General features: G+C 38.8%; 1 long non-coding RNA gene across 3 annotated transcripts in view, besides 2 other annotated features; it reads right to left on the minus strand.

Moving 5' to 3' along the window:
• The window catches only part of LOC105375704 (uncharacterized), a 177,474-nt gene that overhangs the window by 10,915 nt on the left and 142,403 nt on the right, over positions 1 to 24,156 (minus strand). The window lies entirely within an intron of this gene.
• Positions 9,665 to 10,248: an enhancer, noted in NCBI's record as "OCT4-NANOG-H3K27ac hESC enhancer chr8:109298807-109299390 (GRCh37/hg19 assembly coordinates)". NCBI's record gives its function as "activates a minimal SCP1, AML or CMV promoter by ChIP-STARR-seq in primed H9 embryonic stem cells {active_cell/tissue: H9 hESC(primed)}" and the evidence as "EXISTENCE:reporter gene assay evidence [ECO:0000049][PMID:30033119]".
• Positions 10,249 to 10,834: an enhancer, noted in NCBI's record as "OCT4-NANOG-H3K4me1 hESC enhancer chr8:109299391-109299976 (GRCh37/hg19 assembly coordinates)". NCBI's record gives its function as "activates a minimal SCP1, AML or CMV promoter by ChIP-STARR-seq in primed H9 embryonic stem cells {active_cell/tissue: H9 hESC(primed)}" and the evidence as "EXISTENCE:reporter gene assay evidence [ECO:0000049][PMID:30033119]".

Consider the following 24,156-nt stretch of genomic DNA (forward strand, 5'->3'; position numbering starts at 1 on the left):
CTAATTTTTCTCAGTAAAATTTTTCTCATGCCGTATTTATGTTTTAAATTGCCCAAATATTTTATATTGGCCTAAACATTTTGAAAAATATTCATATTGATTTGAAAGCTGATACAACACTTCTAAAAGTCATGATGGCACATCTTGCCAATGTGAAAATGGACATAAAAATATCTCTGGCCAGGTGCGGTGGCTCACACCTGTAATCCCAGCACTTTGGGAGGCCGAGGCTGGCGGATCACAAGGTTAGGAGATCAAGACCATCCTGGCTAACACAGTGAAACATTGTCTCTAGTAAAAATACAAAAAAAATTAGCCGGGCCTGGTGGCATGCGCCTGTAGTCCGAGCTACTTGGGAGGGTGAGGCAGGAGAATGGCGTGAACCAGGGAGGCGGAGCTCGCAATGAGCTTGCAATAAGCCACTGCACTCCAGCCTGGGTGACAGAGCAAGACTCTGTCTCAAAAAACAAAACAAAACAAAACAAAATCTGTAAATCCTACATTTTTCAACCAAGGAAAAAAAATACAGTCATCTTAAGAAATGTGGCAATCAACCAATATGGTTGTATCATACGGGGTCAGTTTGAGGAGCTCTGTGCAGCTCGCCTCAGCATTATCCACTCAAGGGATGGATGAGGGGGGACTCTTGCCCCTCATTGTGTTAACTCACTCACACTTCCAGGTTTGTGAGTGAGTCAAAATAGCTGAAAAGGTACCCACAGGTACTACAACAAAAATTCCCTGATGTAGAAAACAAGAAATTTTCACTGCAGTGGAGACAAGGTGCTGTCACATCATACTTTTGCACAACTGGTTGTCATAGCAACAGCTGGGCTAGAAGTACATTAACAGGATGTGAGGTAGGGCACAAGAGGTGTCTCAACACCCTCTCATGGCGAATTTTTAAAAAATAACATGGCATAACCATCAATAGATGTGGTTACCTGTAAATGAATAGTTAAGGTGACACAGGACCATGCAAGATTTATCAAGGTGACTATAAGTAAGAATGCCTAATTCCAATCAAATGCTGATTGATTAAAGAAAAGACAAAATATACTATACACTGCTGGTGGGAATATAAATTAGTTCAACCTCTATGGAAAACAGTGTGGAGATTTCTCAAAGAACTAAAAATAGAATTACCATTCAACCCAGCCATCCTACTACTGGGTATCCAGCCTAGGAAAATAAATCATTATATAATATAGACATTGGTCAGGCGCAGTGGCTCACCCCTGTAATCCCAGCACTTTGGGAGGCCAAGGCGCAGATCACCTGAGGTCAGGGGTTTGAGACCAGCCTGGCCAACATGGTAAAACCCCGTCTCTACTAAAAGTAAAAAAATTAGCCAGGACTGGTGGCAGGTGCCTGTAATCTCAGCTACTCGGGAGGCTAAGGCAGGAGAATCGCTTGAACCCAGGAGGCAGAGGTTGCAGTGAGCCAAGGTTTAAGCAATAACCCCAACTCTGCTCAGTGTTCTTCATCTCATGCTACTCAAATTCACCAAGGACCAGTATGTAAACCATGGTTCAACTTTAAAAATTCACAGAATGGAGGTTGGAGCGAACCCGGATTGCACCACTGCACTCTAGTGTGGGTGACAGAGCCAGAACATGTCACAAAAAAAAAAAAAAAAAAAGAAAAGAAAGAAAGAAGGAAGGAAAGGAAAAAAGATAAGATATAGATAAAGAATATATCCCACGTTTTCAATCATGCATATGGGCTCTGGTAAGAGGGAGGCAAAAGACTATAGAAGCTTGTGTACCTTCAGTGTAGTTACAAAACATTGCTTCCTGATAAACTGGTCAAATATCCAGTCTATTTAGCAGCATGGCCCTTAGTGAAGAGGGGTGCCAGGCAATTATAGCTGAAAGACATAAACTAGAAATACCATCTAACTAACTTTACCTACTCTGCTTCCTTTTCACCAAACAGCTTTGTGATTCTACTGAGGCTTCCTTATAAATTGGTGTGCATGGACTAAATGCCCTAATTTTTACAATGTGTAATTGTTTTCTTTATAGTCATATGTATCGTTGTTAATTTTTAAAGTTGAACCATGGTTTATATACTGGTCCTTTGTGAATTTGAGTAGTGTGAGATGAAGACGACTAAGCAGAGTTGGGGTTATTGCTTAAAAATATATCAAGCATGGCTATAACAAGGAAACCAAGATGGTATGACAAGAAGAGGGTTACATTAAGTTCTGGTAGGAAAAGGATCTGAGTGAAAGTTTCTAGTGGAATGATAAATAGCTTGGAAGGAGCAGAAAGTGTAGAGTGTGCTGATTCTTCTTCCTGGCTCTGTGGGCAAAGAGAAGGAGTTTAGGAGATAGTATGGCTTTCAATTAATGGGAGATAGAATGTTTGTGAAAAGGTTCAAGACTATGCTTGGTTATTTTGACAGTGAAAGGGGCTCTACGAAAGACTGCAGACCAAGTTATCCTAAATTTTCAATTGTAATGCGGGGTAATGGTGCCTTCTACTTTAGCAAAGTCGCTTCTCCAGGTTGGTGGTTTGGTTTGATCCATTACCAAAAGTCTTTGAAGATGAGTAATAAAGGTGATTGCAAAGCATTTGGTAAACATAAATTAATATAAAACTCAACATTAGCAACTTTCCAGCAAATGTATCTGAAGTAAGTGGTGTGTTTTGTGTAAAATTTCATAGAGTGGTTTCTTAATACATTAAAATGTTTTTCTCTTATTACTGATGCTTTCATAGTTGGCTTGATTCACTTGATATCGATGATCTACACTATAATAAAATTTAAGCAGAGAAACTTAATACAGTCTGAATTAGGAACCACAGCTTCACCGGGACTTAATGTATCATGTTGCAGCATAACATTCTAATATGCATAATTTCCTATATCTTGCATTGACTTTGGGGAGTACTTAAATATTCAGCCCAATTCTCTTTTAAGCTTTCGGAATACAGTTAACAACGTAATGTCCTGCATGCAGAAGGTAGAAAAGCTCCCCTCCATACCCATATTCTCCAGTAGAGCCAGAAAATGAAGCAACAACTCTGTGAAAATCTCTCTTGCAGAATTATTTCCAGCATATTTTGATTAGACACAAAAGGAAGAAGAAGCAACATTTTTTGACTATCTACTATGTGAGAGCCCTATTACTAGTATTTTAATACACTTCAATCATCAAAATATATCTCCAAGTGTAGATATTTATTATTCTTATTTCACTTTTAAGGAAATTAAGCTCAGAGATGTTGCCAAAGTTAGCACATCTGTGATGGAAGTGAGAATGGAATACAGTTCTGTCTTCAATCTGTTCATATACTTGAATCTATCTAAAATCTACAAAGGCAGGAGAGATCTGTCTGAGAATCCCATAATGGGTATTTTAAAAGCATTATTTCCTCATCAGACAATTTCAGTGCTGTCAAAGTAGACATGAATTTAAGAAAGGACAAAATCTACACAACCTCGTTAAAGGCAAGAAGAGTGTTATCAGGCCAGTCTTTGCTTTCTTGCTTGCTTTTTTTCTTCATAATAAAGTATCAAGCAACAGTCTTTGCTTTCTTACTGACAACAGTTACGTTTCAGGACCCAAGCTCTGATATGTTCCCTGACTATAAACTCCTGAGTGCCAGAGGCCATGACCTTGACTTCCCATATTCAATTTATTTCTGGCTGCAAAAAAATCGTGCCCAGAGTCAAGCCATGGTAATATGTAATAACGTTATGTTTCAGTTGGTTAATTTTTGCTTCCTTTAAACACTGAAGACTCAAGCACCAAATTGTTTCAATTATTTAAAAAATAAACCAATGCTCAGGTTAGTACAGTTCTTTATTTATTTGATACGAATAAATGAAGAAACTGTTGGCAGTTGCTCACTTCGACAGTGAATAGGGTTTGGCTTGTTGACTGAGTGGCGAAGGATTTGGATATGAATATTTTCAGTTGGCAGTAAGGAGGAGAAAGAATTTTCTATTTTCTTTTTGACATTGTGAGTATAAGAAATGCTTTGTGCTGTTATCCTGACAACCTTACAAATCAAAATAAGAAAGAAATGGTAACCTACAGCTTTCAGTGGAAGATAATAAGTGGGGGAAAAGACAAGTATATTTTCATTCTCAAAAGGGTAAAATCTGTCAGTAGGAGGAAGAGGAACTCTCATTTTGAGGTTAAAGTATAAAATATTAACTTCAAATAGCTTCACATGCAGACAGATTAGCATTCACTCTAACTTCATGAGGGAGTTAATAAATACATGTGAAAATGAAGATAACAACTTCAAATAAATAATTGAACAGTCACTTTATAAAGGGGTGTTTTGTATGCAGCCTTCAGAACAGCCGCTAGTGGTCACTGACTCTTGGTATTCTCATTCTTGTGTAATCCCCTTCAATGGAGCGTGGGCTAGACTTACTTTCTTTGAATGAATAAAATAAGGTAGAACTAATGGTGCATGTCATAAAAGGAAGTATGTTCTTTCTCTCTCTCTCTCCTTCCCTGTCTCTCTCTCTTTCTCTCCCTCTCTTTTTGTCTCTAAGATCATTCACTCTGGAGGAAGCCAGCTGCCTGGTCATAAGCAATCCTATGGAGAGGCCCATGAATTGAGAAACTGAGGCCTCTTGCCCAACAGTCATGTGAGTGATCTCAGAAGTGGATCCTCCCAGCCCATTCAAGCCTTTGGATGACTGCAGCCCCAACTGACAGTTTGACTGCAGACTCATGACAGACTGAACCAGAACCACCCAACTAAGCTGTTCCCAGATTTCTGATCCTGGGAAATTGTGTAAGAAAAATGTTTGCTGTTTTAAGCCAGTAAATTTGGGGGTCAATTTGTTGTACAGCAATAGGTAACTAATACGAAAGGGCAGGAGTCATAACATGCCAGCCCATCCTGGAAAGGAGAGCCAGGGATCCACTTCACTGACAGGACTAGACAGAAACATATTATGTTTAAGTAGGCCACTTAAAGTCGGTCTTAATAGCCAGCATGTCAAGCCTGCAGGATCAGAGAGACAGCAAAATTGGCACATTTTAGAAGACACCTCAGTATTTAATCTTAAAGGCTGCATGGACACAGCTAGAGAGAAGCTAAAATTACCTTACAAATTGGAAGACTCCATAAGACAGTGGATGTGGAAGTTGTTATAGTTATCAGCATTCAATCAGTTAAATATGCATCATTGTTACCCTTTAGAAATATTTTTAAATGGCTAAATTGACATGGGCCAGCATATAAAAGGATGTAACTCCAGATTCTAGAAGCACGTTCTTCTTCCTCCTCATCATTCTCTCTGCCACCATCTTAGCTTGAGCTCTTAGCACCTCACGTCTAGCCCTTAATTGCTACCAGGTTGTTTCTCATTCTTTAGTCCTGTCTCCTAGCTAGACTGTAGGCTACTTAAGGAAATGATCATGTCTCCTTCAATAATCCCCTCCAACCACAAGTTATTCTTATTCGAAATGTGAGTCTATACGGACTTATTTCTGTATACCTCCTCTGAAGCCACAAGAATTTTGGATCAACATGCACGAATCATTTCAAGTTGCCACCGTCTTCTCTCTAGTGAGATTTAGGGTCCTCTGGATTATTTGCTTCTACCCTCTTCTGCCTCTCTAGACTATTAGTTATGTTCTCTCCAGTTCTTATGGAGATGTATTGTCATTTTCCTGAAGCTGTGAATATTACCATGTGGCGCAAGTAATGGTGCTAGGTGTTGGAAAGACGTGCTGCCGTGGAACAGATAGACATGGATTCTGCATTCTGGTTATTTTCTACTCACACAGTCTGTACAGTACTAGGAAAAAAGGTAATTGAACAATAGTACACTTAAGCTGTGGCATCTTCTGGGATTGTTTGAAGGCACTACCAGTGACGTGTCATGATATTGCCCAATGGAGGACCTATTTTTTGATCTGACACTATGCAGTAGGTAATATTCCTTACTAAAGAAGACTCCATAGGACTTTCTTATACAGTATGCTTTTCAAAATAGAAAAATGCACTCACATAAAAGGATTCAAAGCACAAAAATGCTGGAGAGACAGAAATGCAATATATATATATATATATATATATATATATATATATATATATATATATATATTTTTTTTTTTTTTTTGAGACGGAGTCTCTCTCTGTCTCCCAGGCTGGAGTGCAGTGGCGTGATCTCGGCTCACTGCAAGCTCCGCCTCCCAGGTTCACGCCATTCTCCTGCTTCAACCTCCCGAGTAGCTGGGACTACAGGCGCCCACCACCACGCCCGGCTAATTTTTTGTATTTTTAGTAGAGACGGGGTTTCACCGTGTTAGCCAGGATGGTCTCGATCTCCTGAACTTGTGATCCGCCCGCCTTGGCTTCCCAAAGTGCTGGGATTACAGGCATGAGCCACCGCGCCCGGCAGAAATGCAATATCTTAAAAACAGGCAGCTAGCAATTGTTACAGTATATTGAAGGGAGGTAAGACCTTAGAAAATAACTTCTAAAACTTTGGGTTTTAAAAATTTTCATTTGAACAAGTGGATATATAGAGCATATTTTAAAAAGACCTTAATACATATCTTAAATATGATTCACTACAATTTTGTAAAATTACTAACTCTTTCTAATTCATTAGGTGTCCATTTAAAGTAATTTATTCCAGGAGTCCCTCCCTTGCAGTTGAATAGTTGTTTTTTAAACATAATTTAGAGTAATTCCATAATTAATTATCTATTTCCACCAATAAATTCTGGGCTTTCAATGAGCAGTGACCTTTCTCGATTAAATGTGTACTGCCAGTTCCCACCACAGTGCCTCACACATGAAAAGTCTCCTAAAAATATTTGTGGAATGAATGAAGGGGTAAGTAAATGGAGGTAAAAAGGGGTTATCAAACAATAATAACCACCACGAGCCCAGTTATTACATACACAATTTCTTTAAAAAGATAAAACACCTGAAAGAAATGAAATCAGCATGTAGGGCTATTCAAGCTTGTCTGATGATAAATAATTCACTAGGAGCACAAGCATTCATTCATTCTTTTTCATTCATTTCTTCATTTATTACCGTCCTCCTTCATATTCATCAAAGCCAGATTTTTCATCTCCTGTTTGTCCTCTGGAACCTTCCTTGGGGACTCTTCCTAGGTTTGGCCCTGGCAGAGAGACAGTATTTCTAGAACTCACTCTCTTTCTTATCTTTTGCTCTGAAGTGTCTGATATTAAACAGCCCAGCTTGTTCATTCATAACAGGCTGAAATGTTTGAACTTTATTCTGCCAGCAATAGCAGTCACAAAAGATGTATGAGCCAAAAAGTGACTTTGCGAAGCAGGGTTCAGGAAGATGCGATTGGAATTGCTTTTTCTCTGAAGGTCTGGTGTTGAACAGCCATAGTTTTTTAGAGGAAGGCCATGAACTGAATGTTAAAGGGTGAGGAGCAATACAATGTCTGTACTTGGTTCCAAGTGGGTGTCACTGGTATGAGTTCAGTGAAGGGGAGATGATGTGAGATGGCAGCTCAGGGACCCTCAGTGATGAAGGAAGACATAAGTTATCTTGGGCACAGCGCAGTGGCTCACATCTTTAATCACAGCATTTTGGGAGGCCGAGGTGGGAGGAATGCTTGAGCCCAGGAGTTGGAGACCAGCCTGGGAACATGGGAAAACCCTGTCTCTACAAAAAAAGAAAAAATTAAAAATTTAGCCAGGTTTGGTGGCACAGACCTGTGGTCCCAGCTACATGGGAGGCTGCGGTAGAGGATGGCTTGAGCCTGGAAGGTGAAGGCTGCAGTGAGCCATGATTGTGCCACTGCACTCCAGCCTGGGTAACAGAGTGAGACCCTGTCTCAAAACAAAAAATAAGTTACCTTTGAAGGCTAGAAGGATTAGATAAGTAAGAATGCATATGACTTGTTTACAGAAAAACATAGACAACAGCTTGGTTGTAGCAGTGGTTCTCAATCTCAACTTCAGAATTACTTTAGGAGCTCAGTAAAATGAAAATTCATGTGATCTGTCAAATGCCCTCCAGCCAAAGCCCACCAGGGACATATCTGTAGTTGAAGGATTAATTACAAAGAGAAAAATTACACACCATGGGTAACCCATGGAGTGTCTCCATAAAAAGGTGTTAAAAAGGATTTGGAATTGTACTAGGTGAACTTGAGGAGGGTCCAAGGAAACAGGCTTTTCCTCTGGATTAGGTGCTGTCACGAAACAGAGGCGCTTCTATGATTATCTTAATAATTTTTATCTAGAAGGTGGGACAAACCAAAGAATGCTGAAACTGTAGTTGGTAAAGAAGCAACAGGCAGTCATACTCACCAGGATGGGGGATATTTGTCTGTTCTTCTGGTTTGCACAATGTTCTTGTTTTTGTCTGTGTTTCTTCTTGATTACAGATTGGTCATCATGATCACCAAAGAGCCTTGTCTAATGTTGGCATTCTGTGAAATTACTTGTGTTCAACAGAAGTACATCATGGCCTCACTGCGAAGCCCAGCCAGCTCCTGGATGTCAGAGACTGCTTTCCAATTTCTCAGATGTAGCGCAAGATAGTGATTCACTGGCAGACAAGAAATCTGTATCTCTAATAAGATACCTATGTGATTCTGATTGAAGGAATCTAAGACCATGCTTTAATAACTATTCCTATGGTAAGAAGTAGGGCTGAAAATGGAGGAGCAGATTGTAAAGATCCTTAAAACACAGACTAATAGGTTTGAACATAATTCTGCCAGCAATAACAACAATTAATGGCATATGAGCAAAGAAGAACCTTCCCAAGTAGGGTTCAGAAAGAGTTTCCTGCTAGTAACAAATAGAAAGGTTAGGTACTGTCTAAGAATGGGGGCGAGCCTGGGGACAAGGAGGGAGAATAGAAGCAGATAAACCACCAGCTAGGAAACTCCTGCAAGGGACCAGCCCTGACAAGACAAGGAGTTAGATTAAAACATTGCCAGTGGGCATGGAAAGAAAGTATTGAATGTGAAAGACATTAAGTAAGAATCTGAAATCCATTCAAGGGCAGGGATTTGCGTTGATAAATTCTTAGCTCCCAGCCCTGTGCTTGGGGACAAAATGAGCATCCAATAAATATTTAAGAGCTAAATCAATTAACCAACTAATTGGATTATGTAACTGAGATGATGTGGGGGAAGAGGAAGAAGGAAAAATCAGGAGTGATTTAGGGAGAGTTAGGAAGGGAAAATTATTTCAGAAAAAGGAGCATCCACTTTAGTCAAGTTTAATCTCTGTAATGGTGAAATATTCTAGCCAGAAGTTACTGATGTGGGTTTGGAATTTGAATTTAAGAGAGAGGTTAAGGGGTCAGGCGCAGTGGCTCATGCCTGTGATCCCAGCACTTTGGGAGGCTGAGGCGAGCAGATCACTTGAAGTTGGGAGTTTGAGACCAGTCTGGCCAACATGGTGAAACCCTGTCTCTACTAAAAATACAAAAATTAGCCGGAATGGTGGCGTGCTACTCGAGAAGCTGAGGCATGAGAATCGCTTGAACTCAGGAGGCAGAGGTTGCAGTGAGCCGAGATCATGCCATTGCACTCCAGCCTGGGTGACAGTGAGACTCTGTCTCAAAAAAAGAGAGAGAGAGAGAGGCTAAGGTAGGGGTTGCAGGATGAATAAGTGGGTAGATTGAAGTCATTGGAGCACGTGGAATTTTCAAGAGTGGGCAGGTGAAGAAAGAATGGAAGACAGGGTCAGCCTCCCACTGATTTGCCATGGCAGTTCTTGTTTTCTACTTTAGAAGATGAGTTGACATCAGGGGAAATAAATTATGACTATTTCAGGAATACAACGTACATCTTCTGAGAATGGTTTCTGGAGTCATCAGACAGGGTTTCCAAGACACCTCTGTCCCACTCAAGCTGTGACTTTTCCTGTGTTTAACCTAAGTTGAAATTTTCTCATCTGTAAAAAGCTGGTGATAAATGTAAAGCAAGCTCTTAAAGATAGGCCCAGAAATAAAATTAAAAAATACAAACCTCGCATGGCAATGTCTGAGTGATGACACGCAGTAAGTATGGTGAAGCTTCAGTTAGCTGATGAGGATATATTAGTTTTCTCAAAACATCATCTCTTAAGTAGGAATGGCCATCCACAGTGACTTTAACCTTCCATATCATAGGACAACAACTACCAATTTAGGCTTATCCAGTTGTTGCCGAATGAGTGGCATTCCCAGAGCACTTTCAGAAACTGAGTATGTAGAAAATAAGAGGAAACACTCTTATCTTGACCAGACAATGCTATATCCAACCATGAATAGGATTGTTATATAAAAGTAAATGTATTTGAGATAGCTCTTGCCTGGCCCAATCAGTTTTGTAAAAACGTATTTTCAGATAGCTCACTTAAAGCATCTGCCTTTCTCATTGAAATCTAACCAAAAGGTGGCGGTATTCTATACAAATGCTAACTAGTCCCTTAACTGTTACCTGTGTTTTGTAAAACAAATGTCACAACAGCATACATTGAGAATTAAATTGCTAAAGAACCACTCCCCTGTCCCCACAAAAAAAAAAGAGTTACCAGGCTTCATTGAGAAAAATTGAGATTTGCAAGAAAAGATTAAAATGCAATGCAGAACACCACCCAGCCCAGTGTGTTAGAGTACTTGTGTACCCACCAAGATTCCTATGATACACTAGATGTCAGAGACACAGGGGGTGCCACATCATTTCCATGCTTAATACATACACAGCCATCTTCTTGCTTATCACACTATCCATCTGAACAGTCTAAAATTTATTAGGGCTTCTTTTTCTTTAGACAAATCTTTATTCCCCAGCCTTCTTCCCAGGGTGGCCTTCCAGTTTATCACAACAGTCTGTGTAATCTGTGGGGAAAAAGCACTGCCCTGTTTCTTTTTTTTTTTTCTTGAGATGGAGTTGCCAGGCTGGTCTTGAACTCCTGACCTTGTGATCGCCTGCCTTGGCCTCCCAAAGTGCTGGGATTACAGGCCTGAGCCACCGTGCCCAGCCCAGCCTCCTTTTTAAGATGTCCAGGTTTTAGGCTGGGTGCGGTGGCTCATGCCTGTAGTCCCAACACTTTGTGAGGCTGAGGCCAGCGGATGGCTCGAACTAAGGAGTTACAGAACAGCCTAGGCAACATGGTGAAACCCCATCTCTACTAAAAAATACAAAAATTAGCTGGGATTGGTGGCGCTGCCTGTGGTCCCAGCAACTGGGGAGTCTGAGGTGGGAGAATCACTTAAACCCGGGAGGCAGAGGTCACCGTGAGCCAAGATCATGCCACTTCCCTCCAGCCTGGGCAACAGAGCGAGACCCCGTTTCAAAAAAAAAAAAAATTCTAGGTTTTAATTCCAGCTGCATCCTAATCAGAAAAATGTAAGAAACAAATATTAACTGAGCATCTATCATGCACTAAGATATATGTAATCTTGCTTAAGTGGTAAAGGAGACCCAATAGGGTAAATATTCTTAGTCCCATCTGATAGATAAGGAAAACTGAGGCTCAGAGAAAGTAAATAACCTATCCAAGCCCATGGACTGGCAACTAGGATATAAACATTTAAACCAACTTTGAAGTTCTCAGTTCTTTCAATTATATAAACTTCTGTGACTACATACTATTTATATTTCTTGATTGTTTGATATTATAATGGGAGGGGGGAGCTACTACAATTTACGAACATTTTTCAGGGTGTCGGGATATTTTTGTAGTTCACAGCATGAGTTAGATGTGAAGTATAAAGATCTGGAAGTATGTCTTCTAGTGAGTATATTTTAGTAAGACTGAATAAAGTAGCTATATTGTGACATTGTTCAGTTTTATACTCAAAGCTTAATGTGAGAGAAAAACACGGAATTACAACATATGATCAGTATCCATACCTTATTTTTATGCATTATCCTACATTTTTTTCCCCAAGGGTCTGCATTTTCCACTACTGTTTAAGGGTTTTAGATTCCCTAGCATTATGTTTTTCCAGCCCAAATCTTTGACAGTCTCAGTCAAAATTCAATTGATGTCGTGGGTTGATTTTTTTCCCTAACTTTTTATTGAAACAGTCTATTGCTCTGGACTATTTTAAGGCTGTTACCATTTCCTGCTGGGTGGGACATTTTTTGGCTATGCTGTTTGCTTAAACTATGAAGCCATTTCAAGTAGACGTGTTTTATCATCCTTTTTTCCTCTTTAGAGGAACCTCCCTGTAATTTAAGGTTGTTAATAACCTCACCAAAATGACATTTTCTAATATTGATTTATTTTTCTCATTGGAAACACGGAATGAAGAACAGTGATTTTTCAGCAGTAACTGTAATTCTAACCTATTTAAAAACTACAATGAATTGTTGACTGTTTACTCTCTCAATGAAATGATGTCATTTATTATTATTTATTTGTTTCTGAAATGATATTATTAAAGGGAGTTCTTTTAAACATAAATATAAATAAAGCTAATAATTTTGAAAACAGTGCCTTAAAATACAGCTTATCTATTTTGAGAGTTGAAAACCAAAACATATGTCCTGAGGTTGCTTTTGGAGAGCAAAAGGCATTGGCATTAAAGCACTTCCACAAGTATTTAGGGCCTGCATATTATTATTTTCCCCATTGTTATTAGTAAGACACTTTATCCACACAAAAAACATTGTGGCATGTTTTCTCATTTACATGTCATCATATAATCAAATCTAGTGACATGCTCTTTGGGGACTTACTAATGAAACAGAATAAAAATGACAACAACTGCTTTAGGCCAACAAATGCAGTGAATCATTAAAGGTGGAGGAAAGAATGGACATCTTTTCCCTTTCACAGATGTAAACTTGAATGCTGTTTTACAAGTTATTTCAATATTTTCTGCTCCACTGAGAGATTTTTCTATTTTGAAATTCCCTTGCAAGGGTATCCTGACGTATTAATACATTACCGTTAGCTGCATTCCAGCATGATGCTAACAAAAGCCAATTAAACCTTCTTCCATCATACTCTTGCTCCAGCCACTGTCCTAATGTAATCCTTTGTTCTAGACCCCATTGGCTTAAAGAGTGTGGGAGGATCAGGGACCCTGGGAAAACAACTCACAAAGCGTGTTATACTGATGAGAGCAAGCACTGCCCTCTCACACCATGCAACATATTCCGTATTTCCCAAAATTATAGGGAAAGTTCTAGAAAGTACTGGACTGGTAGTCAGGAAACTGAGATTCTAGTTCTAACTCCATTTCCAACTTATTAGGCAATCCTTGGCCTCCCTTAGTCTTAATTTCCCAATGAATAAAATGAAAGAATTTTAGGCTAGTCTCTAAGACACCTTCTAGATGTAAGGGTTTAACAAGGCTGACAAGATCTGTATTTAATGACATAATCCAATTGGAATAACTACAAATTTTCTAGGTAAAACACTGAGCACTAGCAAGGGGACTGCACTCATCTGCTGAGTGATGTTTTGAAGCTCTCTAAACCATATGACCCTTTCCAAATATCAGAGCATCATACAATGTATTTTGTCCTATGAGCACGCATGCCATGAGAATGAATAAAATTCCCAGTTACAAAACTGCTTAGAGCTCTTTGGAAATCATCTTCAGTAAACATACAATGTATAGCTAGCTAACTACTAGAATGCTTAAATATGTATTCTAACAAAACATGCTAAGAGAGCTACCAGTCTGAAAGAAGAAAAAAAAATAAGTGAAAAACAATTTTATTTTCTTTTAGAGAAGCCCCAAATGTTTATCTCATCTATTTTTAAATTAATTTTTTAAAGGACTTTGTTTTATCTATTTCTTATTTTTAAAGAGTCTTTTACACAGCAGTTGTAGGTTCACAACAAAATGCAGAGGAAGATACAGATATCTCCTATACAAATTCCCCCACTTCCCTGCCTCCACTTGAGCACCACATCCCACATTATCATCATCCCACACCAGACTGGCACATTTGTCACAATTGATGAACATACATTGACACACCACAATCACCCAAAGTCCCAGGATTCATTCTCGTTGTTGTACATTCTATGGAAAAATGTATAATGATATGTATCCATCGTTACAGTATTCCACAGAGTATCTTCACTGCTCTAAAAATACCCTGTGCTCCACCTAGTCATCCCTCTCTCCTCTTCCAAACTCTGGCACCACTGATCTTTTTACTGTCTTCATAGTTTTGCCTTTTCCAAAAGGTCATGTAGTTGGAATCATACAGTATGCAACCTTTTCAGCTTGGCTTCTTTCACTTAGTAACATGCGTTTAGGTTTCCTTCAGTCTTTTCATGGTTTGATACTTCATTTCTTTTTAGTGCTGAATACTATTCTGTTGTCTGGATGTACCATAGATTACTGATTACTTATCTAATCACCTACTGAAGGACATCTTGGTTGCTTCCATGTTTTGGCAATTATGAATAAATCTGTTATAAATATCTGCATAAGGATTCTTGTGTGGGCATAACTTTTCAACTCCTTTGGATAAATATGAAGGATTGTGATTATTAGATCATATGGTAAAGTTTGTTTAGTAAGAAACCATCAAATTTTCTTCCAAAGTGGCTCCACCATTTTGCATTCCTACCAGCAATGAATGAGAATTCCTGTTCCTCCACTCGCCAGTATTTGGTGTCATTGGTATTCTGGATTTTGGCCATATAAGGGATGTGTAGCGTTACCTCATTTTTAAGTTTCCATTTCCCTAATGACATGTAATGTGGAGCATCTTTTCATATGCTTATTTGCTATCTATATGGCTTCTCTGATGATGTGTCTGTTAAGGTCTTTGGTCCATTTTAAAATCAGGTTGTTTCTTTTCTTAATGTTGAATTTCAAGATTTCTTTGTGTATTTTGGGTAACAGTCCTTTATCAGATATGTCTTTTACAAATATTTTCTTCCATTCAGTGGCTTGTCTTCTTATGTTCTTGACATTGTCTTCCACAGAGCAGAAGTTTTGAATTTTACTGAAGTCTGTCTTATCAATTATTTATTTCATGGATTGTGCCTTAGGTGTTGTATTTAAAAACTCATTGCCATACCCCAGGTCATCTAAGTTTTCTCCGATTTTGTTTTCTAGGAGTTTTGTAGTTTTACATTTTACATGTCTGTCTGTTATCCTCTGTCATCTATTTTGAAGATTAAGAATAGGAAATATCGCCTAATATTCAATAAATTTAACAACTAGGAAGGAGAAGCAGAGATTAGAGAGGAAACAAAAGATGAAAATGGGGAAAAAGAAAAATGAGGCAGATAAAGACATCCCCAAAGCTAAAGAAAGAGGCAGAGAAGCCACAAACACATTGACAAGGGAAACATCAGAAAGACCCTCTACAGAAGTTGATAAGTGGAAAGGCAAAGGCAGACTGGTACTCCACAAATGGAACACGAGTCGTTCTAAGAGAAAGGTTTTCATGGAGAAACAGCTTGGTCAATGGCCTTAAATGAAACAGATAGGTTTCATGAACATACTAGCTAGTTCTGTTTGTTTGTTTTTTCTTCTTTTTCTCTTCTAGTTGATTCGGCAGGTGAGTTGTTTGACACTCCTTAGCGAATTTCGACTTCCATGGCCACCGTCCTGCTCATACTAGCTAGTTTTAAGCAATGACAGTCATATGGAAATGATAACTTCTTGGTACTTACTTCTGGGCCAACTGAAGAGGAACTGAAGACAGAATCAGAGAATCCCCGATGTTATGTCAGTTAGCAAAGATTAGCTTCTTTAACGGGTATCCTTGTTATTGTAAAATGACAAGAACTAACTAGAAGTTTATATATCCCTCCTCTAGAAAAAGAGTGAGAAAAACCCAGGACAACAAACAATGTTTACAAAGTATTTTGTTCTCCGTGGAAAAAATAAATAATTTAAAATTTTTTATGGAAGTAATTTATTTATGACTTTAACATAATATACAACTGTCAACATCAATCTCTTTTATATTATTAACTTAAAATAGAATTTTTAAATATTTAGGTATTGTTCATTTTTTAGCTGTTATAGATGACAGCATAACCGTTACTTTTTAAAAAATATCTTTATCAGTTGGAGATGTAGATATTTATGAGTGAAATTACATGATTTACTTTGATAAAATCTGGCAAAAAATTTGTGCGGGGTATATAGATAAAACAAGTGCCAAAATATTGATAACTGATAAATTGGGAGGTGGGTATATAAAGGCTCATTTCATTATTCTTTTTAATATTGTGTACGTTTGAAAATTTTCCGTAACAAAAAGTAAAATTATTTTTCCTTTAACTGCATCAATTACATATAAAATATTTCACTGTGTTTAGAAGTAGCTCAAATGAATGCAGAATCTCAGTTTCACAGTATCATGAAAGAATCTTAGGTAATTTTTGTTACAGAAGTTTCTTTGGTTCCTACTTTTTTTGCGGTGATTTCTACGACTTTATTTTTCATCATTTAAGTTTTATTTTCAGAACAACTCAACTGTGTTTTTATAAATTTCCACTTCAGAAACACAGGAAATCCTAAGAGATGGATGAGAACCAGGTACTTAGTGTACAGTTTTTCATTGTGTTTTATTTAACCTAACTACCAAATTCTAAAAGCAGAAGTGGAAGTGTCTTTATGCCCTGGTTAAAGATGTCTCAATTGTTCCATGAGAAACCTGGAGAAAGAGCTGTATTTGGAAGCCTTGCTTTGGCTATCACCTGAGACTGGTATCCTAGAAGTGCAGTGCTAAGTCTCCTGGAGAAGAATGCTTGCCTCTTACTCACACACTGCTTTATTTGCAAGCTGAAGTCTCAGAGGAGACTGCCTGTCTACCCAGCTGCAGAATGTGTATGCAATGATTGCATCTGTTGACATGGAAACTGAAATATAACCGATAAACTACACACCCCAAACAGATTAAAATTGACTTGGGAAAACTATGTAGGGTTATTACAAAATTTATGATAAAACATCTTTTTGCTGCACCTCCCTCTATTTAAAATGATAGCCTATGAAGTAAAATTCTCATAGAAATCATTCTCCCTAACAGAGTTTGGTGGTAGTAGCCAGATTATTGCTGAATAAATCCTTAAAGTGGTATAAAATAGCTGCACATTACAGCAGATGGATGAATGATATAAAAACATATATGCTAAACATATATGTATAAGGCTACTGACATATTTATGAAAAATTATAAGTCCACATAATCTAGGCTCAAACATGTTTGAACATGATAAAAATACAACTGATTTGTTTTAACATGATTTACTGTTTCAAAGACATGTATCTACTGTCTTGTTTAATTATATCAACCTAAACATAACAATAGCTATTACTTATTCAGCACTTACTATTTGTGGGAAACTATGTTAAGCTTATTTTATTTAATTCTTGCTATAATTCAATAACTGGAGCCTTTTATTTTTACCCCCACTATAGATGAGAACTGATCTCAAAGAAGTAAAATATCCTGGTCTATAATAGTATGGGTTGTGAACCTTGGTCTGAGTAGCTTTAAACTTTAGTTGTATAAACCTGACTTTATTGACTCTCATTTTTACTGTGATGAAAAAAGCTTATTATAACACTGGCAGCCTATAATGGTGGTATTAGAAGAGCTTCCAATGACATGTTTATATAAAGAGTCTCTACTATACCCAGCTTAAATTTAGCTTGCGTGCTTCTATTTTTGACATATCATATTGTACGTTCTTAGAGGATAGGAACTGAAACTATCATACTTCACAAAGATGTATGAGTGGTGCTTGATTAACACTCATAATGATTAAAAGTCACACAGCTATAGACAAGTAATAATCAACACTTTTGTAGAAAATTAGTTGTTTAAAGTGGAGACACATTTTTATTTTTCTTGCTGCAATGTGCATATCATGTCTAGGGAGCTAGAACTGGTCATTCAGGGAAACTAAAAAATTATGATTGATAATTCTCTCAATGGTATGCACTTAGTAAAGCCTTTTTTGTTTTGTTTAGCTTTTGGCCAAGGACCAGGATTAAGGTCATTTGATAGCAACAATACGTTTTTAAAATTTTTTTCTAGGAAAAAATTTAAATGGCAGTGTATACTAAGGAAGAAGAGCAAACTGGGATTATACTTGAACACTTTTGAATGTTCATTGTTTATTGAATTTGTTATGCATTCGAGATTTTAAAAACAACCTCCCATATTATAAAGAGCAAGAGGACAGCTGATGAAGGACATGTCCTACACAAATTCTGAACAGTTTATTTTGTCTTCTTTCAAGTCAGAGGACTGCAGGATCTTTCTTCCCACTTGTTGCTTTGAAGATTTATAGGAAGGGGGAGGTTATTTTGCAGACAGCTGAAATAAAGTTCCAATGTTCTAAATTCCATCTTTGGAAATGAATTGTAGCTTCTAAAACAGGTAGTTCTAATGGTCCATGTATAGCTACATGGAATGTGAAATGGCCTAGGAATTATAATAACTGAATCTTTGGTTAGTCTCTCTTCTACCATTACCTGGCTATGGATCTCAGACATTTCTGTGCCACTGTCTTCTCCACTGTCAGATCTCAGTAGGGGGTGCCAAATAATCTTTGTATTCCTTTCAGCTCCAATTAGACTCAAACCTTGTGGTACAATGTTTCTGGCTGACCCAACCCTATCCACAATTTCTTTCTTCCTAGACATCTTCCAGTATTGGCCCAGGAGTAACCATGTGTCTAGTTCTGATCAACGAGCTGTTACTGGCTGGGACTCCAGGAAAACTTTTAGGATAGACTGGACTGGAATGTTCCTTTTGGTCTTTTTGTTTTATTTTGTTTGTTTGTTTCTCTGAGACAGGGTCTTGCTCTGTCATCTAGGCTGGAGTGCAGTGGTGCAATCGCACAGCTCCCTGCAGCCTCTACCTCCCAGGCCCATGTGATCCTCCCACCACAGCCTCTCGAGTAGCTGGGACTACAAGCATGTGCCACCATAACTGGCTAATTTTTTTGTATTTTTTGTAGAGACGAGATCCCACCATGTTGACCAGGCTGGTCTCGAACTCCCAAGCCCAAGCAATCCTCCAGCCTTGGCCTCCAAAAATGCTGGGATTACACAGACGGCCACTGTGCCCAGCCCCTTTTGGTCTTTTGAACCTGTCTCCTTCTTGCCTTCAACAAATGCAGTGCCTAGAGGTACAGCAGGTAACTAGTAACCATAAAATGACAGGCTAAATACTTAGGACAGCAGAGGCAGGAAGGTGAGAAGAATGTGTGTCCCTAATGCTTCCTTGAGAAGCTGCACCAACATTGGCCTGCCTATATCTGGATTTCTTGTTATATGAGAAAAATAAAGCCATAGTTTCAGCCACTGTGGTAGGGTTTACCATTATTTGCAGCAGAACGTAGGCCTAACTGATATGTCTAACACAACACATAAAAGTAACATGCTGTAAATTGAAGAATGGTTCTTATGGGGGCTACAAAGGTTAAAACCATGACTGCTTTCTCCAGGAGCTTGTAATTAATAGAAGGCAAAAGACAAGCACTGAAACAGCCACAATACAAGACAATACATTAAGAAGAGGCACAGTACTAACATTTTAAGCAGGATGTAGTCATATTTGCTTTCAGGGAGAGGTGTGGAAAAATCAAGAAAAGAGCCTTAAAAATATACATTTTAGTATTCTTAGAAGTTTATGCTGCTTCCTAATAATGACATCATTTCTCATTAAATTATTGATATAGAACTAATAATTAGATAAAGGGCTTTAATGCTGACCTAGAGATTATGCTGATCTCATCAGGATGTCACATTGTCTTGGCTTGACCTTCAAACTAAAATTGTAGCAAATTTAAAAAATATATATATTTTTAAAATTAGAATTTCATATTTTTGAAATGAAATAGATGATGGTAACCCCATTTCCTTCTGCTTGATCAGCTGCTGGCTTATGCAGCTACTCCTTGTGCCCTGGTAATTTGCTGTTTGGTACAAATATGTACTAAACTCTGTGCCCGTCCTTCCTTTGTTTTATACACTTGCCTCCACCGCTCCCAATGCAACCCTTACCCTAACTATTCGAGTCTTTCCTCAGATGGTATAATCTGATAACTGATTCAACATAGATGAGTTAGTAAATGAAAATGGCTTAGTATGGTACCAGCTCTCCCTCAGTATATATAGTTTTATAACATCTAACCAAATGAAGATAAACCCTGATCTCAAATGGGTTAAAGGAAGCTTTAAAAAATATCAATGTGTGTGCCCGCTCATCTAACCCGGTTTGAATTCAACTGGTCTCCCGTGTGATGCAGGCGTGGGTAGGTTTATTCGTTTTGAAGAGAAACCAGGGCATAGGCATGGGTAGGTTTAAAAGCATTCCAGGTATTGCTAATCTACAGTCAAGGTTAAAAACCAGTGGTCCAATCTACATTCAACATGTGTCCACCAGATGCCTGACATTGCTAGTTACTCTAAAAAGCTACCCTGGGCCTTGAGGGACTAGATGCCTAAAACAGGAATTATTTTGCCCTTGAACTAAAAAGGGAGTTTATTGAAAGAATACTGGATTTTCCCAAGAAAAACACAAGCAACAGTGTTTCTATAGGGTCTATACCCAGTATCAGGAAAGCTGACAGGAACCGACAGCAGCACACTCTCAAGTACTCTCTCTCTCTCTGTTTATTCTTTGTTTTTGCCCTCACATATCTGGTCCATCCTGCTCTTTCAGCAGCCCAGCTTTCTGCCTCTGTAGCTATAAAGGACAGTACTATGGCTACCCAAGGTCACTGCACACATTATACATTTGGGCCCAGAATCTGAAGCTGCACCTACCTAGAGGGCTACCTTTTTCTATTGTTTGTTTGTTTTGTTTTGTTTTGTTTTGTTTTGTTTTGAGACAAGGGTCTCACTTTGTCACCAGGCTGAAGTGCAGTCTTGTGAACACAGCTCACTGCAGCCTCAACTTCTTGGGCTCAAGCGATCCTCCTATCTCAGCCTCCCAAGTAGCTGGGACTACAGGCGCATGACACCATGCCAGCCTGGCTAATTTTTGCATTTTTCATAGAGATATGGTTTCCCCATGTTGCCTAGGCTGGTCTCAAACTCCAGAGCTCAAGCAATCTGCCTGCCTCAGCCTCCCAGCACGTGAGCCACCATACCCGGCCAGGGCTGCCTTTACTAATGTAAGCAAAGACGTCATGCTGGTGGGACCCACTCTCACAGGTATATTACTACTGGTTGTGGGCAACAACTCTCTAGTTCCCAGCTCCTCCATTTAGGAGACAGACGTAGGTTAAAAAGCTTTTTTTTTTTGTCGTCCCAAGTACATAGTCTCTGGAGAGAGAATCTAGCCAGCCCAGCATGATCAGGTTTCCATTCCCGATTGACTGGCTTATGTTCCAAGAAAGGCTAATCTGGTAGAAGCACAGCTGCAGAGGACTCACCTGGTATGGGGAAGAAGACACGTTCAAAAAAGGAGATCACTTATGAGGCAGGCAGTTAACTGAAAAGGTATACTTGATTGCTCAAAGAGCTAAATTTAGACTATGCGAGATAGTTTAAAATTCAAAATGTCTCTTACATGCTGTCAGTGGAATAAGCACATGGGGGAAAAAGTGGTTATATCTGACTGGTGTGTTCTAGAAAAGCGTCACAGAAGAGATACAATTTTTATAGACATTGTGGAGAAAGAGGCAGCCCAGATGGGCAGAAAGATTACAATAAATGAAGACATAGAGGTAAGAATGGGGACTCTTTCAGGTTGATTGGACTACACAATTTAGAATGCAGTGGTAGATAAATCTGGGGCCAGACTATGGAGATTTCTGAAATTCAGGCTGGGAGAAAAGACTCCTAGAAAAGGTATGTTTTTTGAGCAAGAGAAATATATAATCTCTCTCTCTCTTTTTTCTTTTCTTCCTTTCTTTCCTTTATTTCCCTTTCTTTCTTCCTTTCTTTGTTTCTTTCTCTCTTCCTTCCTTCCTTCTTTCTTTTCTTTTCTTTTCTTTCTTTTCTTTTCTTCCTTTCTTTCTCTTTTTTGGCAGAGTCTCTCTCACTCTGTCACCCAGGCTGGAGTACAGTGGCACAATCACAGCTCACCACAGCCTTGACCTCCCAGGCTCAGGTGATCCTCTACCTTACCACCTCCACCTCAGCCTCCTGAGTAGCTAGGACTACAGGCGCCCGCCACCACGCCTGGCTAATTTCCATATTTTTTTTGTAGAGACGGGGTTTCGCCATGTTGCCTGGCTGGTCTTGAACTCCTGGGCTCAAGCTATCTGCCCACCTTGGCCTCCCAAAGTATGAGGATACAGGTGCAAGCCACCGCATGTGTAGAAATATATAATCTGACTTGTATTTTAGGAAGATGGATCTTTTCTAACGTATAAAGTAATAAAAGTGACAGATTCTGAAAGTGGATGAGTAGATCAAGCAAGAGACAAGACAGGGTCTAATCTAGGTTGGTGGCAGTAAGAATAATAATAAAGAAATTGAAGGCATTTTTGAGGACTATGGGGATTTCAAGCAGCATGCCAGAGGCAAGGAGAGAGCTACTTGGATTAGGAAGCATATTCTCAGGGTTCTGGCTGCATTCGAGTATGGTAAAGTCAATCTTCTATAACAAGTTACTTTTTAAAGTGCCCTATTGAATTTGTGTATTTTACTAGATTCATTCCAACAGTCATTCACTCAACAAACATTTATTGAGTGCCTAATTTGATCAGACTTTTATAGTAGGAGGTGGTTCAGATAAGATGAGTAAGATTAGTCTCTTCTAATGAGGATACAGACAGGAAAACAATGAATGAGAAGACACCATAAAAAAGCCAGATTACCTCATAGGGCTGCTGGGAAGATTAAATGAGATCACGTCTGTAAAATGCTTAGTTAGGCACAGTGCCTGGTACCTAGTAAGCGCTCAGTAAATAGTAGTTATTATTCCATACAAAATCCTGTGAGAGCAAAAAGAAGTGATGAACTGTCTTAGGATATTGAGGACAGCTTCAGTGAGGAAGTGAGATAATTAACCAGGCAGAGACAAATATGGACATTCTAGATGGAAGAACTTGCATGAGGAAAAGCATGGTGTGTTCTGACAACACAAAGTATGGCCTGTATAGAGTATGGGAGGGGCATTTAGGAGAGGCACGTATAAGACTAGCAAGGTAAGTTGGGCCTAGATTTCAGAGGACCTCGAATGTGAAGCAAAGTTTAGACTTTGTATTTTAGGCAATCAGAAGCAATGACTAGTTTTCCAGCAGAGAGGGTATGAGCAGATTGCTTATTAGGAAAATCACCCAGGGTAGTCTGGAGGATGGATTAGGGGTGAGAGGTGAGAAATAGGTCAGAGGCAAAACAATCATTAAGCTGCTTAAATTGTTCGGACAAGTCAAGTGAGGTAAGGTTCTTCATGAATCAAGATGGTTGCAGTAGGAATGGAGTGGCAGAAAAAAATGATAAAGCTCTAAAAGTTTATGAGATCATGTTTTAAAATTTTTTATCTAATTCAAAATGTATTGCATTTTTACCAGCTCACTATTATAATATCAATCTCTTCTAAAACACAGGAAAGATCTTACTTTAGGGAAAAACCAAACCAAAACAAACCTTCACAAATATAACATCCATTATAACATTTTGGGTTAGATTACTTGCCTACATAGTGTGCAAAAGTAATTTCATGTAAACATTTTAATGAGTTGTTTCCATTTTGTGTATTCTTGACAATGTTACTTATATATTTCAAGATTATGGAATAGATGCAGCAAAATCTAAGTATTCTGGTGCTCTGATGAAGAATATCTTTTTCTTACTGGATTACATGATAACTGCACAGATGACCTAGACACAGGTTGCACATGGAGACACCAGCAGCTTTCCAGGTTGACAACTAACTAAGGCTTACCTTCCTGGCCCCTGGAAAAGATTACGGGGTAATTGCCAGAACTACCAGAGGTCTTATTAATGTAATTATGTGTATGGTAATGCCCATTCATTAAAAACCCAATTAACTAGAAATTTCATATAATAAGACCTTTTTGACTGAGTGCAGTGGCTCATACCTGCAATTCCAGCACTTTGGGAGGCCGAGGTGGGTGAATCACTAGAGGCCAGGAGTTTGAGACCAGCCTGGCCAACATGGTGAAACTCCATCTCTACTACAAATATTAGCCAGGCATGGTGCACACCTGTAATCCCAGCTATTTGGGAGGCTGAGGCAGGAGAATTGCTTGAATCCAGGAGGCAGAGGTTGCAGTTAGCCGAGACTGTGCCACTGTATTTCAGC

This window comes from Homo sapiens, chromosome 8, assembly GCF_000001405.40.
Source record: "Homo sapiens chromosome 8, GRCh38.p14 Primary Assembly".
NCBI lineage: Eukaryota > Metazoa > Chordata > Mammalia > Primates > Hominidae > Homo > Homo sapiens.